This window comes from Homo sapiens, chromosome 14 (genome assembly GCF_000001405.40).
Source record: "Homo sapiens chromosome 14, GRCh38.p14 Primary Assembly".
In the NCBI taxonomy this organism is placed as follows: Eukaryota; Metazoa; Chordata; class Mammalia; order Primates; family Hominidae; genus Homo; species Homo sapiens.
This window is the reverse complement of record NC_000014.9, coordinates 70,644,187-70,660,786: the sequence shown is the minus strand read 5'-3', so window position 1 is coordinate 70,660,786 and position 16,600 is coordinate 70,644,187. Positions and strand designations below refer to the sequence as shown.

Genomic DNA, 16,600 nt, shown 5'->3' with positions numbered 1-16,600 from the left:
TATTAAGAATATTGAATGACTGGTATAGATCATAACCAAACCAAATAGGCAAACAGTATTGTACCAGCTCTGGGTGCCCTGGCTGAAGACTAATGCTGGGTCTAGAGATGCAGTCTTGAGCTGGAATCTGAGCTCTGCCACTCACTAGCACAGGCCCGAGGGCGAGTTATATGATCACCCTGGGTCTTATTCTTCCCATGTTAAATAGGAACTTTGGGGGAACGCTTATGATGATGAAATGAGATAATTAATGCACATTACATGCTTCTCACAGTGCTGGGACAAAAATGGATTCTCATAAATACTAGTTCTTTAGAAAGTCACTTATCAAATATGGTTTGCCCAGCAATGTGTACATGAATTGGAGAAAATTTCCATCTTGAGTCCTATATACAATATGTGGTACATAAACAAAGCTACAGCGTAATTTAAAGTAGATTTTCTATCTAAAGTAGATTTTCACCCACTACCCACAAGGGCAGACAGGTATCAGATGGCCAAGTCCTAGAGCTGGAAATCTGCACATGTGTGCAAATAATTGTTCTCTGTTACGCTGTCAACTTGTGACATTTGGATACTTCTCTTGTTAGTGATTTGAAATATTCCCCTGGAGAATAAGAACCCCGGCCAAGGAGATGGGGAAAAGGAGCAGAAGGATGAGGTGCTGCATGATGCACTCAAGAGAATATGGCCCTGCACCAGTGGACAGTATCCATCCATCCTCCCAGAAAGGGAATAAGAGGAAGAGCAGGTCATCTTTATTTAGCATGAATGGGCCAGGCACTGCTCTGAGCATTAACTCATTTAATCTTGACAGCAATCTATTCTAGCTTCTAGTATTTTGCCCATTTTTTTCAGATAGGAAAATGGAGGCCCTAGGAAGTCAAGTCACTTGCCCAAAGTCACAATGCTAGTAAGTGTCAGAGCCAGGATTTGAATTTAGGTCATCTGGCACCTGAGACTGTGCTTTTAACCATCACACACACTGCCCTCCTAGGATGCTTACCTGCCTGTAATGATTCTAACTCAATTCCTTCATTAGACATATTTGAGGCATGGGTACTGCTTCCTGTAGGGCTTAAGTGTGAGACCCTAATTGTGCTAAACTGTTCTCACTTTATACGTAAATACTCATCCGGAAACTTCCTATGTAACCCTCCAGAACCTTCTCTCCCACTAGTTCCTTTACATTCAGAGAGAAAAACAAAAAACAAGCAAACAAAACCAACTGCAAAGTTTCCCCTCCTCCTGCTGCGGCTGCTTTTTTTCCTAAGTTCTAAAACCACCAGCATCTCCAATTCCATTCAGAGTCTACTGTTATCCTAACAGGGCTGACATGACACGTTTCTGGTTTCTTCCTGAAACAACACCTATCTTTGCTTAGCTAGTGCTTGCAAAACTAACCCCCCAATTATTATTTTTTACTTGAAACTTTTATTGTGATAATTGTAGATTCACCTACCGTTGTAAGAAATACTACAAAGAGACCTCCCATACCCTTTACCCATTTTCCCTTAGCGCTAATATCTTGTAAAATGATAGTACAACATATTGGCTATGATATTGACACTGATAGAATCCACAGATCTTATTCAGGTTTCCCTAGCTTTACTTGTACCCAGTATGTGTGTGTGTGTGTGTGTGTGTGTGTGTGCGTGTGTGTGTGTTTAGTTATATACAGTTTTATCGTGTGTAGGTTCCTCTATCATCTCCTTCCTGTCCCACCACTTCCTCTTTAACCCCTGACAACTGCTAACCTGTTCTCTATTTTTAAAATTTTGTCATTTTGAAAATATTATATAAATGGAATCACATAGCATGAAATCCTTTGGAAGGCGCTTTTTACACTCAGCATAATTTCCTTGCAATGCATCCAAGTTGTTAAATGCACCAATAGTTCATCCTTTTTTAATTGCTCTGTAGTATTGCATGGTATGGATGTACTACAGTTTGTTTACCCATTCATCTGCTGAAAGATATCTGCGCTGTTTCCAGTATTTGATTATTACGAATAAAGTTGATAGGAATAGTCAGGTATAGCTTTTATTTCTCTAAGATAAGAGCTCAAGAGTGCAATTCCTGGATCATAAGAGAAAGAATTTCATTTCTTGTCATCAACTATGATGTTGGCTTCAGTTTTTTTTTGCAGATGCTTTTAACTGAGATCAGGCAATTTTGCTCTATTTCTAACTTGCTAAGAAATTATTATTTTTTAAATATCTGTGAAATTATAGCACATCCTTGCCTAATGGTAATGCTTTGCAGAACCTGTTAGGGGGTCTCTCTAATGAGTCAGATCTACAGGTACAATCATCAAATGTGCCCTTTAGTTTTACAAAGAATAAAATTATTTTTCATAGCTACATTCTCAAATCAGGATCATTACTGTTCTTTATGAAATGCGTCTCCCTTGCTCTTTCAGACAAACATCTCTAGAACATCTTTAAATTCTCACACAGCACCTACCACAGTGGTTATGCCCAACTGGCAGCAAGACCTAACATATATACGGTGTTTTACAACTCATTTAACTTTCATGGAGACTCCGGGAAATAGCTATTATTAGCTCTGCTTCCAGGAGCTGAGGCTTGGGGAAGTTAAGTGACCCGCTGAGCCCACTTAGCTCTTATGGGGAAAGAGCTAGTGTTTACTTAACCCCAAATCCCATATTGGTTCCAATCCAACAGAGCTGGTGGTAATGGTGGAAACCCGGACTGGCTGATCTCTGAAGGTCTTTATCAAGTCTGAGGACTGAGAACTCTGGCTCAGAGAGTTAGCACCCTCCAAGTGGCTGTTTCTTTGTTTGTTTGTTTGTTTGTTTGAGATGGAGTCTCGCTCTGTCGCCCAAGCTGGAGTGCAGTGGCACTATCTCAGCTCACTGCAACCTCTGCCTCCTGGGTTCAAGCAATTCTCCTGCCTCAGCCTCCCAAGTAGCTGGGATTACAGGTGCCTGCCACCAGGTCTGGCTAATTTTTGTATTTTTAGTAGAGATGGGGTTTCACCATGTTACCCAGGCTGGTCTTGAACTCCTGACCTCAGGTGATCTGCCCGCCTCGGCCTCCCAAAGCACTGGGATTACAGGTGTGAGCCACCGTGTCTGGCCCACAAGTAGCCGTTTCTTTGTTCACTCCAATACCTATTTCTCCTGCCTGCTGCCCAGAGAGTCTCCCACTACTGCTGCTGCTATTTCTACTGCCAGGAGCTGTTTGGCTTTATCTAGGGGGCTAAATCTCCTTTGATTCCATTCACATTAATTTCTGACCTTCCACTTTTCCATTCTAGTATGTGCTTGCACTAGATTCAAACAAACACTGTCAAGTGTGTCTTTTGTTTTCTTTGTTTTAGCAACACTGTCTTTGGAGATCTCTCCTTTTCATCATAACCAAGCTGCTCCCTTGAATCCCTCTGATTCTTCACATGGATGCCCCACCTTTGGGATCACTACCAGAGCTGCTGCTTCCCACGCATCATCACTACACAATTTCGGGTAGGCACTCTTAGTAAACTTAGTCAATAAGGATTCACTCATCGTGGCCTGTGCCCAGGGCTTCATAAGGAATATGGAAAGCATTCAAGAGATATTGATATCTTCAAGGAGTTTATATTCTTTTTAATTACCCTCTGTTGGCAAAAATAGCTGTCAAAGTGGCAGGTAAAAGAACTGCATGGAAAGTCAGTATAAAATCCTGTAAGCTGAAAGCTTACATTGACAGTCCTTTAAAGCATATAGGAATCTGCCCAAGGGAGTTGTAATGCCAAAGCTTAAGGTCAGCTCAGCCCTTTGGCACCAATCTGGGTGCTATGGCAGAACACTTAGAAGTTATCCCACCTATGGCCCCTTACTCTCACCCTTGACTTTGGTGTAGTAGACAGAGAGGGAGAAGGCAGTAGTGAAAAGTTGGTAGGACAGAGCTGTTGTTTGCTGGAATCTTCATTAACACCCCTTCCTCAGTCTGGAAGCGGGACTTTGGAGTGGCCAGATTGGCCATTTGGAATGTGAAGATGAGTGTATTCCCAGAAATATTCAGAAGAAACCCATCGCCCCATATTATCTTTTCCTTCTCAGCTCTGGCCAAGTACACACGTCACGTTCATTGGCAGAAACTCTAAGCCAGAATGGGAAGACCTTAGAAGCCAGAGTTCTATCCTGTTCTCTTTTTGGACATTAAAGAACGTCTCCCATTTCAATCCCCTCTCCTGCCCCAGAGACATGTTCCCTGTTCCTATTGCCTCTCCCACCATCTTTCCCTCATGTCCTCAGATGTGTTTGGGGATAGGATAATTAACAGGCACATGTATAGCGGAAAGAGCACGTCTTTGGCAGCATTGTGCTGTAATCACAGAATGCTGGAAATAACCTAAGTATCCATCAGTAGATTAGTTAAATAAATAATGGGACATTGGTGCAATGGAACATTACACAGCCATTACAATCATGCTGTGGAACGGTGAAAAATATTTTCAATGAAAACACTGGTGGAAAAACATGAAGGTTGCTAAAGTTTGTACAGTATAAACCTGAATGTTGTGAAAAATAAATGTGTGTGTGTGTGTGTGTGTGTGTGTGTGTGTGTGTATCAGGGTGAAGAATTATTTTTTCTTTTAAAAGTTCTGCTCCTTCTGTATGGGTGAAGAATTTGTAATATCTATAGCAGAGTTTAAAGGAATAAATTATCTTTTTGGAGGAGACTGGCTTCATCAACTGCTTCAGGTGGGGAAGGTGAAGCTTAGAGGTCAGTAGCAGGCACACACGTAGATGAAAAGATGCCCAGACTGCTTTGTATATGAAATGAAGGGAATCTGAGAGTGGGGAAACCTAAGAAGCTGAGAGGAGCTGGCGGGGAGAAAGAGTCCAAGCAGCATGGCGGGGAGCTGGAACCTGCCAAAAAATGTGAGTGGTCCATTTGAAATTCCTGGTGGTCTGATGGCCAAATGAGTTTTAGGAGGAAGAATTTCTACTATTCAATTTTTGAGATGTAAACTCCTTCTGCATCTCATAACCTTCAGTAAAGTCTAGTGAAATTATACATCTGGGTGTAGTGGTGCTGTGGAATGTGAAAAGGAAGTAGCAGCAACAGGAAGTCGAGTGGCCCCTTGGTTGTCATGCAAACAGAGTGAGCAGCATCCTGTGGGAGGGGAGGGGAGAAAAGACAGGAGGTCCCTGCAGTGGCCCCAGCCCACGTGAGAACAACCCCTTGTTTCCTAAATACACTGGGAAAGGTAGACCTGAAGGGGGTTGGCTGATGTTTGTTTTACATATAAATGATCATACACCCACACGGAAGAAAAACGGCAAGGAAATAAACCAAAACGGTTAACTGTTGTCATCTTGGGGTGGTAAATGACAGAGTTTTACCTTCTTCTTTGTTTTTTTTTTTTTGTTTCTTGAGATGGAGTCTCGCTCTGTCGCCCAAGCGACGCTTGGAGAGCAGTGGCGCGATCTCGGCTCACTGCAACCTCCGCCTCCCAGGTTCAGGCGAGTCTCCTGCCTCAGCCTCCCGAGTAGCTAGGACTACAGGTGCACGCCACTGCGCCTGGCTAATTTTTGTATTTTTAGTAGAGACAGGGTTTCCCCATGTTGGCCAGGCTGTTCTCAAACACCCAACCTCAGGTGATCCACCCACCTCGGCCTCCCAAAGTGCTGGGATTACAGGCGGGAGCCACTGAGCCTGGGCTGCTTCTTTGTAATTTCTTATATTTTCAATGCTAAATTAAATTTAGCCTAAAGCTGCCTCCTTACATAGTCTAAGTTTGGCCTAAAGGTTTCTTTGTACATAAGGAACCATAGTAAACTGAAAACTAGCTGGATGTGTAAACAGTCTGCAACCTACTCTTATGCCAATCAACTGAGTTTTAGCCAATCAAAGGCAACCAAGTGTTCAAACTGAGTTCAAATAAGGCAAATGCAGAGCTGTTAAGTATCAGCTGTTTCTGTACCTCGCTTCCATTTTTTTGTACGGTGGCTTTCCTTTTTCTGTTTCGTAAATCTTCTTCCACCATGTGGCTGCACTGAAGTCTCTCTGAGCCTATTCGGGCTTGGGAGGCTGCCCGATTCACGAGTCATTCTTTGCTCAATTAAACTCTGCTAAATTTAATTTGTCTGAGGTTTTTCTTTTAGTATCAATAACTTCTGCAACTATGATGCTTTACTTTTGTAATTAGAATTTTTTTTTTTTTTTTTTTTTTTTTTTTTTTTTTTGAGACAGAGCCTTACTGTTGCCCAGGCTGGAGTGCAGTAGTGCAATCTCGGCTCACTGCAACCTCCGCCCCCAGGTTCAAGCAACTCTTCTGCCTCAGCCTCCTGAGTAGCTGGGACTACAAGCATATACCGCCACGCCCGGCTAATTTTTGTATTTTTAGTAGAGACAGGGTTTCACCATGTTGGCCAGGCTGGTCTCAAACTCCTGACCTCAGGTGGTTCACCCACTTTGGCCTCCCAAACTGCTGGGATTACAGGCATAAGCCACCACTCCCGGGCAGAAACTATTTTTAAAAAGTCACCACTAACCATTATCATCCCTTCAGAGAGAGCTGGGGGATGAGGGGAAGAGGAACTTGGGAGGAGAGGTGTGAAAAGGGATTCAGAAGGGTTTCCTAGGCAGAAAGCACTGCCTCTTCATGGGGCACTGTTCTGGGGATGCTTAGGGTCATGAGGGACCCTGGGTGTTTTGGTGGAGGAGCAGCTGTGAGCGGATCCAAGGGACACACCTGCTAGTGCTCTCACTCCCAAGATGCCTGATTAAGCCAAGGACTTTCTTCATCCTACCCCAATAAGGAAGCTCAGTAAGCTGGCATCTGCCTGATGCACAAGAGGGTGGGTGGGGCAGTCCCGAGGCTGCCAGCCCCATGGCTTCTCTGTCGGATGTCTCCTTCTATGAGCCTCTGCCATCCTCTGTTTCTCTTCCCACCAGAAAGCCTTCTTTCTTGTTAAGCTCCCCTGGGGACTCAAATGATCACAGCATGTATCTTCTCTTCCCAGCAGGCAAATCCTTATTTTCCGCTGTCAGATTCTCAACTGGTCTGACTTGTGAGAGTGCCTGAAGTTCTTTCCCTGCTTTTCATTTCAAAGACAGGGTCAGGGGGAATCCTGGGGCAAAGTGTGAAAAGTGGCAGGGAACAGGCACTGTCTAACTGAGCCTTATTCATTTGGAGAATCTCAGGCTGGAGATGATGTGTGCCTAGAACCCACAGTTTCTAAGTGTTTCTTAGACTGACCCAAATCCTGAGAAGCTGGAAGGGGCATAGACCCCTGACCCATGGGCTCTTGGTCATGGTGGAACTCTGTGGTCTTTCAACTAACTGATGAGTTATATGTTCACTCAGCCTCCCTTGACCAGGAATACACCAGGCATGGTGGTAGACAATGTCCACACCAAAGGCTGTTGGCTTATACCTTCTCACCTCTCCTGTCTTGCAGACACTTAGGGAGATGGCACTCTTTCCCCTGGCCCCTGTTTTGTCCTCACCTTTTTGCTCACTTGCTTCCCGTGTTTCCCCATAGCCTTCTTTGCTGCATTCTTTCCCTCTCTCTTTCCCTATATTTTCCTCTGTCTTCATGCATACTGGAGTAGGAGTTAGATTCAAATATTAACTAGCATCTGTTAAGCATCTGTTATGAGCCAGGCACTGTGCTAGGCATGTGTGCATGTATCATTAATTTAATCACCATAACAATCCTATGTGGTACATTATTATTACTCACATGCTGTCATGGAAACAGAAGCCACAGTGGTTGGGTCCTGTCCAAGGTTAATGGAGGAAGAAGTAGGGAAGCTAGGATTCAGATTCAGATTTCACTATGTAAAGACCTGTTTCCATTATGCCACATTACCCCTCAGGTTTTCTGAGGTCTAGGTTGCTTCCTATCTTTTCCTGTGTGTTCTATCTTCCTTCCATCCTCATGGGCACTCATGGGATACCCCCCTCTCTGTATAGGCATCAGAGTCCATTCAAGTTTCCAATGGTCCTGTGGTCTCCACAACCTGGAGGTGCAGATCCATTAGAGAAAGGAGTGCAGTTCTGATTGGACATAAGTAACAGGCCCAGAATCACATCCCCAAATGCTCAGATCCAGCCCAGAATCCCCAGGGCTTTCCAGCCTTGAGCCATGGGTAGGAACTCTCTGAGATGCTAGAACTTAGCCAGCAACTGTTCTCTCAAACTCTTGCCAGTCTGTTTATCAAAAGCTTTTGTTTTGTTTTGTTTTTTGTTTTCACTGCTACCAGTACTTCCTGGCCTAATATAGCTGGCATTGCCAGGTTTCTGATGCTGAATGGCTGCTTGATTAGTTGAATTTGGGGATAATCTAGGGAGATACAGCAGCAATGAGTACTATTTGGTGCCATCAATTTAGATTCCAGGGCCCAGATAATATTTTACATAGGCTTCAATTCCTACTCATTTTCTCTCAGAAATCCAGTGCCTGACTGTATCATCCAAGGAGGCTTTGACGTCCATTTGGTTTACCCCCAGATTTGCAAGGGTTGCCTTGGAAATCTCAGTTGGGATCATTTAATACTTACTGTCAGCACATACCAGTAAGCTGGAATAAAAGAGAGCTTGTCTCCTGTTTCCTTCCCCAAATCCGACTGCTCCCAGAAAGATCAAGGCAGGGAGGGGGTTGCTAGAAGCCTTTTGAAATCCTGGATAGTTCAATGCTTCTGAAAGAAAGCTTGGCAGGAAGCTGATCTAACCCCCAGTGTTTACAGATGGGGAAACTGAGGCTTAGCAGGATGTGACTTGCTCAAAGTCACAGAACAAGTTAGCAGCAGAGCCTGGACTAAAACCCTGGTCCCAACTGTCCCCACTCCATGTATTTTTTTTTTTTTTAAACCAGAAAGGATTTAGATTTGGGCTGTGGAGAGACATAGCGAGTGTCCAGTAAAATCCAATGAATGGAATGACTGAGCTTCCTTCCGGGTGCTCCGGCTGCTCTGGCTGAGCCTCCAACATGCGGAATTTCTAGACTCAGGAGCTAACAAGAACCTTGGATGCTGAGCACCTACACCATGCCTTCCTCGACACCAGAGACATATGACTAACATTCAGAACCAGTTTACATCACAAGTGCTGACTCAACTCTCTTCTTTGCCTCACCAGAAGATTCAAACTGTCACTAATGTGCAACAGAGTCTAGGGGGCATGCTCCTACTCTGTGGGGTACCATGCTGCCAGGATCTAGCCCTTTGTGTGGACTGGGATGGTGGCCACTGCAGAAAGGGAGACAAGTCTTTTTATGAGATATTAAGAGAAAGTGTGAGGCATTCAAACTTTTTTTTTTGTGGGATAATGTTGCTTGACAAGTATAGACAGGGCATGATAATACCCAGAATGGCATTAAAATTATGTTTGTAGGTTATGTTTTCTTCAGGAATATTTTTAAAATGCAAATTACTCATAATTTCTCTACACAGATAACCCATGTCATCATTTTTCTTAAAAAAAAGTAATAATGTATGTAGGTAGAGAAGTCAAACATTACAGAAAGATTTAAAGTAAAAAGTTAGGCTGGGTGCAGTGGCTCACGCCTGTAATCCCAGCATGCTGGGAGGCCAAGGCAGGGGGATCACTTGAGGCTGGGAGTTAGAGGCCATCCTGGCCAACATAGCGAAACCCCATCTCTACTAAAAATACAAAAAGTTAGCTGGACATGGTGGCGCACGCTGGTAATCCCAGCTACTCGGCAGGCTGAGGCAGGAGAATCGCTTGAATCCAGGTGGCAGAGGTTGCAGTGAGCTGATAACGTGCTACTTACACTCCAGCCTGGGTGACAGAATGAGACTATGTCTCAAAAAAAGAAAAAAAAAAAAGTTAAAATCTCTCTGCCCTATTCCTTGCCTAGCCTCTTTTTTCAAAGGTAACAGTTAACTGCTTCTCTGGTATGACTTGAGACAATTTTCTTGAATGCGAACACTGTACTAGCATATATGTTTATTCTCTTATTAAAATTCTACACAAAGAAAATCATATTAAAGACTGTTCTACACTCTGCCTTTTCAAGTAATATAGGTTTTGGAGACTCGTATCTCTAAGCACACATAGAACTTCTCTATTCCATGTAATGGCCACACAGTTCAGAAAGAATGATGTGGAGAATTTTTCTTTAAGACCTGGAAAGGAGATTAGAGATCTTAGAATTCAACCCTTAATTTTCTGAAAATCAGAACACCATGGTCCAAGAGGTAAAATTCTTTGATCCAAGGCACACAGAAAGTTAGAGACAGAACTTGCAGTCCAGGTCCCTTTTCACTAAGCCCCACTTCTGCTACGTTCTTAAGAAGATGTCTGAAGAGAATTGGGGAAATTTTAGCCTTCAAAGAACTCCCCTTTTATTTTCCTCATCAAGTATATTCTTTTTTTTTTTTGAGATGGTGTCCTGCTCTGTCGCCCAGGCTGGCGTGCAGTGGTGCAATCTCGGCTCACCGCAACCTCCGTCTCCCAGGTTTAAGCGATTCTCCTGCCTCAGCCTCCCCAGTAGCTGGGATTATAGGCACGCGCCACCATGCCCAGCTAATTTTTGTATTTTTAGTAGAGACAGGGTTCTCACCATGTTGGCCAGACTGGTCTCAAACTCCTGACTTCAGGTGATCTACCCACCTTGGACTCCAAAAGTGCTGCACCGCTGTGAGCCACTGTGCCCAGCCAAGTATATTCTTTAATGGCTGAAATGAACTCCTACTCTTCACATTTCTACTTCGATTTCTCAAGACCTCTTAACTGGAATTCACACACCCTAAAGCAAGGGAGGAAGAAAAGAGGAGAGACATGGGCGGGGATTCTGCAGTCTCTATGTTCATTAGAAATTATGACTCACAGGGCTTCTCACTCCCCACTGTCCATACAAATTCAGGTCACCTTCCTACTGACATGGCAGGACCTAGGGAAACAATGACCTGGTTTCAGAACACAGGACACTTTCCCCTTAACCACCCAGGATGGCCATGGAATGGAAGTCCTAATCACACAAGGCACGTTCACAGTAAAAGGATGTCTAACTGCCAGAAGGAAAGACTGGAAGATGGGCAAGAGAGTTACCCTAAAAATGTCAAAGCTTGTCTTTGCTACAGAGATGATATATACTCTGTGTTGCTTCAAAGAGTAGAATATTGATGGATTAAAAGAAATTTCAGTGAGACAAGTTTTATTATCTAAGGAAGAAACCCCTAAAGATGGAGGTGGTAGGGTGAATGGCTAAAACTGCAGGCTTTGGAATTACAGACCCAGTGGTTGAGAGATCCCAGTTTGCCATATACCACTATGTGACCATGGGCAAGTGATGTTAACTGTTCCAAGGTTGACTTTTCTGTCTCACAGAGTTGTACAGATCAAATGAAATTATATATACATAAGTTCATGTAAGGCGGGGATCTTGTCCTTCATATTAACTGCTATATACCCAGCCCCCAAGCCTGGAGTCTGGTGTATAATAAGTGCTCAATAAACGTTAATGGAATGATTGAATTTATTGGATCCCTAACAAGAGACAGATGCTGGGAAAAGCATTTTCATTCATTTCAAACACATTTGTGGAACATCTACTATGTGCTGGCCTCATCATGGTAATCCTTTCTGTCATTACTGATACCATTATTATTATAGTTGTTTTGGTGGTGGTGGTTGTCAAAAAGTTTGCTTCAGATGGTGGTGAATATCCCTATGATTGGAAATGCCTAGCTCATGTGGGATGACAAGCTGGTAGTATTGACAGGTGAATCCATGTACCTATATAGGGTTTGGGGTCATATCCAAATCCAAAATCAAAATTCTGATTTTACAGAAATCTTGAGCTTGTTAGTACCACTTCACACTTTTGCTGGGGATATGACATTGTACGTCTGTATAAGATAGTGAGCTTTACAGTGGTAATAAATAATTCCAAGGCCATATAAATACCACAGTTAGGCTAAACTCCTTTAATCCCTGCAGCATTATCTTTGTTTTTTTTAAGTCTGGTACCATTGTCCGAGCTAGACCTTAGAGTTGCTGCTCCGTGTCTGGGCCACACTAATCATCTGGGTGAAACGGAAAATTTTGTTCCAAATATGGACATCTGCCTTCCCAAAGGGGCTTAGGAAATCTCTAGTTGGTTGATTGAAACATTCAGTTTTCATCCTAGCTGTTTGGAGTAGGCACAGTCTGGTGGTGAAAGAGAACAGCTGTGAGGAGAGGATTTCCTTATAGTGAATCTGGAGGTCACCCACAACCAGTGAAAGCTCTGGGAGCTGCTTTTGGCTGCTCCACATCTTGGCCTTCCTGTCTGCTTTGCAGATGAATTTCCTTGCCTTGGAGGGGGCACTCCCATGTATTTTGGCTGTAGGGACTCTGATTTCAAGATGTCCTAAAGAGTTCCTGGCTAAAAGCCACCTGACTTATTTCCCTTGGAGGTGGACTAAGGAGCTTCCAAATCCACTTTAGGAACTCAGCCCAGTGTCTAAATTTGTAATGTTCTTCCCAGTACCTTCCTTGAAAGCATTCTGCAAGTTTCAATTCTCACTTTCTTCCTTGGAAGAAGGTATTACAAGCCCCATTTACTTGACCCTTAAGATTTATTGGTCAAGGTGCTACCTAAGGAACAGCCCCAGGTCAACAACAGCTTAGCCAGTCAAGCTCTCCCATCGGGATGGCAAGATCTTGGCTGAGCATCTTGACATGAGGCCTATATTCTTTTCCCTTCTTTTGACCAATCCTTACCCTAGGAATTCATCCTCTGATTGCAAGGTTACTGCTTGTCTCTAGCCCCTGACCTCCTTTTCACCACTGAGTTTTTAAATTTGTAACTCATCCATCTTTACACCAACATCTGTTGAATACCCTTTGTTCTTAGACTCTGCCTTAGAGTCTGTATCCAATTTTGTCCACCTCAGATGTATCCATCCAGCCATCTTCTGGTGTCCCATTGAGGGCTGGCTTCAAGGGTGGGCAACTTGTGCTGTTGCATAGAGCCCCACACTCAGAAGGAACCTGTACTTCATTTAATACTCTGCTATTGCCTTCTTGAAATTCTTAGTCACTTTATCTTTAAACTTGTGTTTTGTTTAAGTGAAGTCTGATGGGACAACACAGCATGAGCAGGGACAGAGGAGATGGGCACAATACCACTCTCTGCTGCCCCATTTGCATATAGCATTCACAATGCCCCAGGAGCAAAGAATTCTAGGAGCCCCATGATGCGTGAGAGTTCATCAAGACTTAATTATGCCCATAACTAAATGAATATGCTGCCAGTCCCAAAGGGCCATTCTTTCCATTCAAACTAGAAATGGCTTCAAACATGGACAAAAAAAAATGTTCTCAGAAACACAAATAATCTAGGAACCCTATCATATCCTTTCCTACCTATGTTGCTTTCCCATATTAGCCAACCACTCATGCTGAAAATGATGACACAGAAGGAAAGGGTAGGGTCACGTGTATTCCCTTTTCCTTTCCTGGCTCATCTGAAAGCCTGGTGGAAAGTGCACATATGAAGTATGCATATAAAGTACACATATAAAAAAGTGAAATAAAAATAGTTTAGTTTATTTGGTGCAGCATTTCCACTGTTCTAGTAAGAATAAATACATATGCATGTATGAGCTACAGAAGTATAAATTGTATAATTTTTATAATTCCTCATATAAGTAAAGTGTTCCTATAAGTTCATTTAAAACTGGCACCACACATCATAAAGAATAGTAAAATCTATGCTAATAATTAAATTTTAAAATTTTTTATTTGCAATGACATCAAATAGCAAATGCAAAACACCATGTCAAGTCAAGAGAAAGAGAGAACAAAAGAAAGAGAAAAGCTTTATCTTTCAGGATCTTTAGCGACACTTCCTCCCTGCCTTTTCAACAAAGAGTCCTACATTTCATTTCATGCTGGGCCCTGCAAATTATGTGGCTGGCTCTGATCCCATGGCTTTAAGACGTGTCCACAAGCACTGAAAAGCAAAGCTTGTTTCAAACCAGCACCATCCCAGGCATTTCCCAGTGTGACTTCCTTCTAGGCCTTGCCACATCCCTATCCCAAGGCTTCAATTGGGATCAATGGATATTAGCTGCCCCTTTGGTAAGATCAACAAAAATCTCCTAAACATAGCTCTGAGTAGATGGGAAAATGGAGGTAAAGTAAAATGGCAGGGGCTTATCCAAGGTCACAAGGTATCCCAGGGACAGAGGCACAAGCTCCTAGCCTTCAGGTCCAATGCCATGGTTTGTTGATTTCCATCTCTACTGCTGGCATTCGAGCCTTGAACATCATTTGAAAATACCAACAAAGTTATTGTGTGTTGTATCCCTTTGATCACACTTCTGCTAGGGCCACCACAGCCCCACAGGAACAGATGTAGGGCAAAAGACTCTGCCCTTCAAAGGGTTCTACACTGAACATTCCAAGGCCCCAGGGGAGTCCTGTGTCTTGTTCAATGTCAAGAAGAGTCCATCAACAGGCCAATACATGCTTCCTTTGTAGCCTCTGTAAAGATCAGATTCCTATGTCTCCCCAGGAAGGTCAGGATATCTTTTCTAATCATTGTATCAGGATCATTCAAAATTCCGTAGAAACAGAACGATCCCTACCTATTTCTTTGAATTTCCTGGAAAACAAGATACGCAAAAATTACACCCAGGGGCCCAGCACAACTGGCCAGATCTCTTCCAACCAAAAGGAAATCCCAGCCAGAAGAGACCACAACCTGGTGCCCTTTGCAAATTGCCTGCACACCCTTCATGCGTCCCCTCAAGTCATCCAAATAGGTTTTTAGACCGACATCTCTTAGCACATTCTAGCTGTCCTCTTGCTATTCTTTTGGAGGCTTCCATGTGGAGTACAAGGGTTCACTGAGCCTAGATGTATTCCAGAAGCCTCATAACCACCTCTTGTTTGGAGCAGCGATGCCCTTAGCAACACAGCTTAATTTTCCAGGTACTTCTGGGCTAGTAGTCCAACTTCCTCCTAAAACCCAGTCCTGTCTCTCTATGCACAGCTTTGTGTAGAAGGAGGATGGATCCTTGATTAAATATATTCAGACTCCCCCAGAACCTGGAGCTTGTTGGGCTACTCAGCTGGTGCTGCAGACCTGGTCGAAGGGTCAGTGGCCTTTCTTCCAGAATAAACCTCCAGTTGCTGGTCTCCTTCCTTTTAGCAGGCACACAGGGGAAAAGATATCTCATGGGCCATGCTGCACTGTTCTGGCTCTAACAGCAATACCAGTGATCATCTTTCCTTCCTTTCTAGCCAATGAGAAGTATAAATACACATGTAAAACTTTTCTGTTGCTATTTAAAATAATCTTCATGAAAATATTTTCATGAAATGTGAAAATGCTTCTGACATAAATAACTGGGATTAAAAGCAGGATACCTGATTGTATACACAGGAGGACCTCAGCTTTGTAAACTGTTTACATTTATTCACAGAAAAAAATACAGGAAGGAAATACACCACAGTGGGTTTCTAACTGGATTAGAGGTAATTGTGTATTTTCTTCTTTAAACGTTTTAGTGTTTTACAAAAGAAAATACATATTAGAGGCATTGATTATTTTGTAATCTGACAAGAAAGGATACTTTCCTATTAGCTGGGACTTCTGAAATAGTCATCACTGATTTTATACATAGCCCTGAAGGAAACAAACATAAGGCTTCCACTTCTCCCCAGAGTGACTTTTTTATTTTTTATTTTTTATTTTTTGAGACAGAGTCTCGTTCTGTCGCCCAGGCTGGAGTACAGTGGCACGATCTCGGCTCACTGCAAGCTCCGCCTCCCGGGTTTATGCCATTCTCCTGCCTCAGCCTCCCCAGTAACTGGGACTACAGGTGCCCGCCACCACACCCGGCTAATTTTTTGTATTTTTAGTAGAGACGGGGTTTCACCGTGTTAGCCAGGATGGTCTCGATCTCCTGACCTCGTGATCCGCCCGCCTCGGCCTCCCAAAGTGCTGGGATTACAGAAGTGAGCCACCGCACCCAGCCCCAGAGTGACTTTTAAGTTGAACCATCCTCCTAGCTGAATTTTGGCTTTGACAAAATTGCTTTGCTTATAATCACTCTTTTCGTTCTTTTGTGAGACTTGACATTTGGAAATAGCCCGTTAGAGCCTTGAATCAAAGTATTCTATTTCTTTCTCCTGGTTACCAGGCCTGAGATCTCCCAAAGGAATTTCCAAAGTGCAAGGCTTTGGAGCCCACCTGAAATTGGGCTCAAGTGAGACAGAGGCCCAGAGGATGCTGACTTTGTGCATCAAAGTATGATGACAAGAACATTGCCTTTGGAGAAGAATGGCTCCGGAGCCTTGAGCTTTTTCTCTGCAAAACTGATGATCATATTTCTTTTACATAGATTATAAAGATTTAAAGAGACAATGTATGGAGGATGCCTAACAGCACACACAATTAATTATTAATATAAGTGGTGAGCACTGGAGAAGGCAGCAGAGGGGGAATATCTGCTATTGCTACTTTCCATTCTCTCACCGTTGAAGTTTTCCAGTGTGTGAGGTGAGGATGGGAGTGGTGGAGCTATCCAGATTTCAGTCCCGCCCTGACTGGGCTGGCCTGACCAAGGACACATCTTTGATTTCACCATGGAAAAGTAACCACGTCTGGGGTGGAGGGCAG

General features: G+C 43.3%; 1 protein-coding gene across 1 annotated transcript in view, besides 3 other annotated features; it reads right to left on the bottom strand.

Moving 5' to 3' along the window:
- TTC9 (tetratricopeptide repeat domain 9) overlaps positions 1 to 16,600 on the bottom strand; it is a 33,451-nt gene that overhangs the window by 14,580 nt on the left and 2,271 nt on the right. The window lies entirely within an intron of this gene.
- Positions 6,047 to 6,106: an enhancer, noted in NCBI's record as "active region_8658". NCBI's record gives its function as "activates an Ori minimal core promoter by ATAC-STARR-seq in GM12878 lymphoblastoid cells {active_cell/tissue: GM12878}" and the evidence as "EXISTENCE:reporter gene assay evidence [ECO:0000049][PMID:35858748]".
- Positions 6,167 to 6,306: a silencer, noted in NCBI's record as "silent region_5890". NCBI's record gives its function as "represses an Ori minimal core promoter by ATAC-STARR-seq in GM12878 lymphoblastoid cells {active_cell/tissue: GM12878}" and the evidence as "EXISTENCE:reporter gene assay evidence [ECO:0000049][PMID:35858748]".
- Positions 6,680 to 7,266: an enhancer, noted in NCBI's record as "OCT4-NANOG-H3K27ac hESC enhancer chr14:71120238-71120824 (GRCh37/hg19 assembly coordinates)". NCBI's record gives its function as "activates a minimal SCP1, AML or CMV promoter by ChIP-STARR-seq in primed H9 embryonic stem cells {active_cell/tissue: H9 hESC(primed)}" and the evidence as "EXISTENCE:reporter gene assay evidence [ECO:0000049][PMID:30033119]".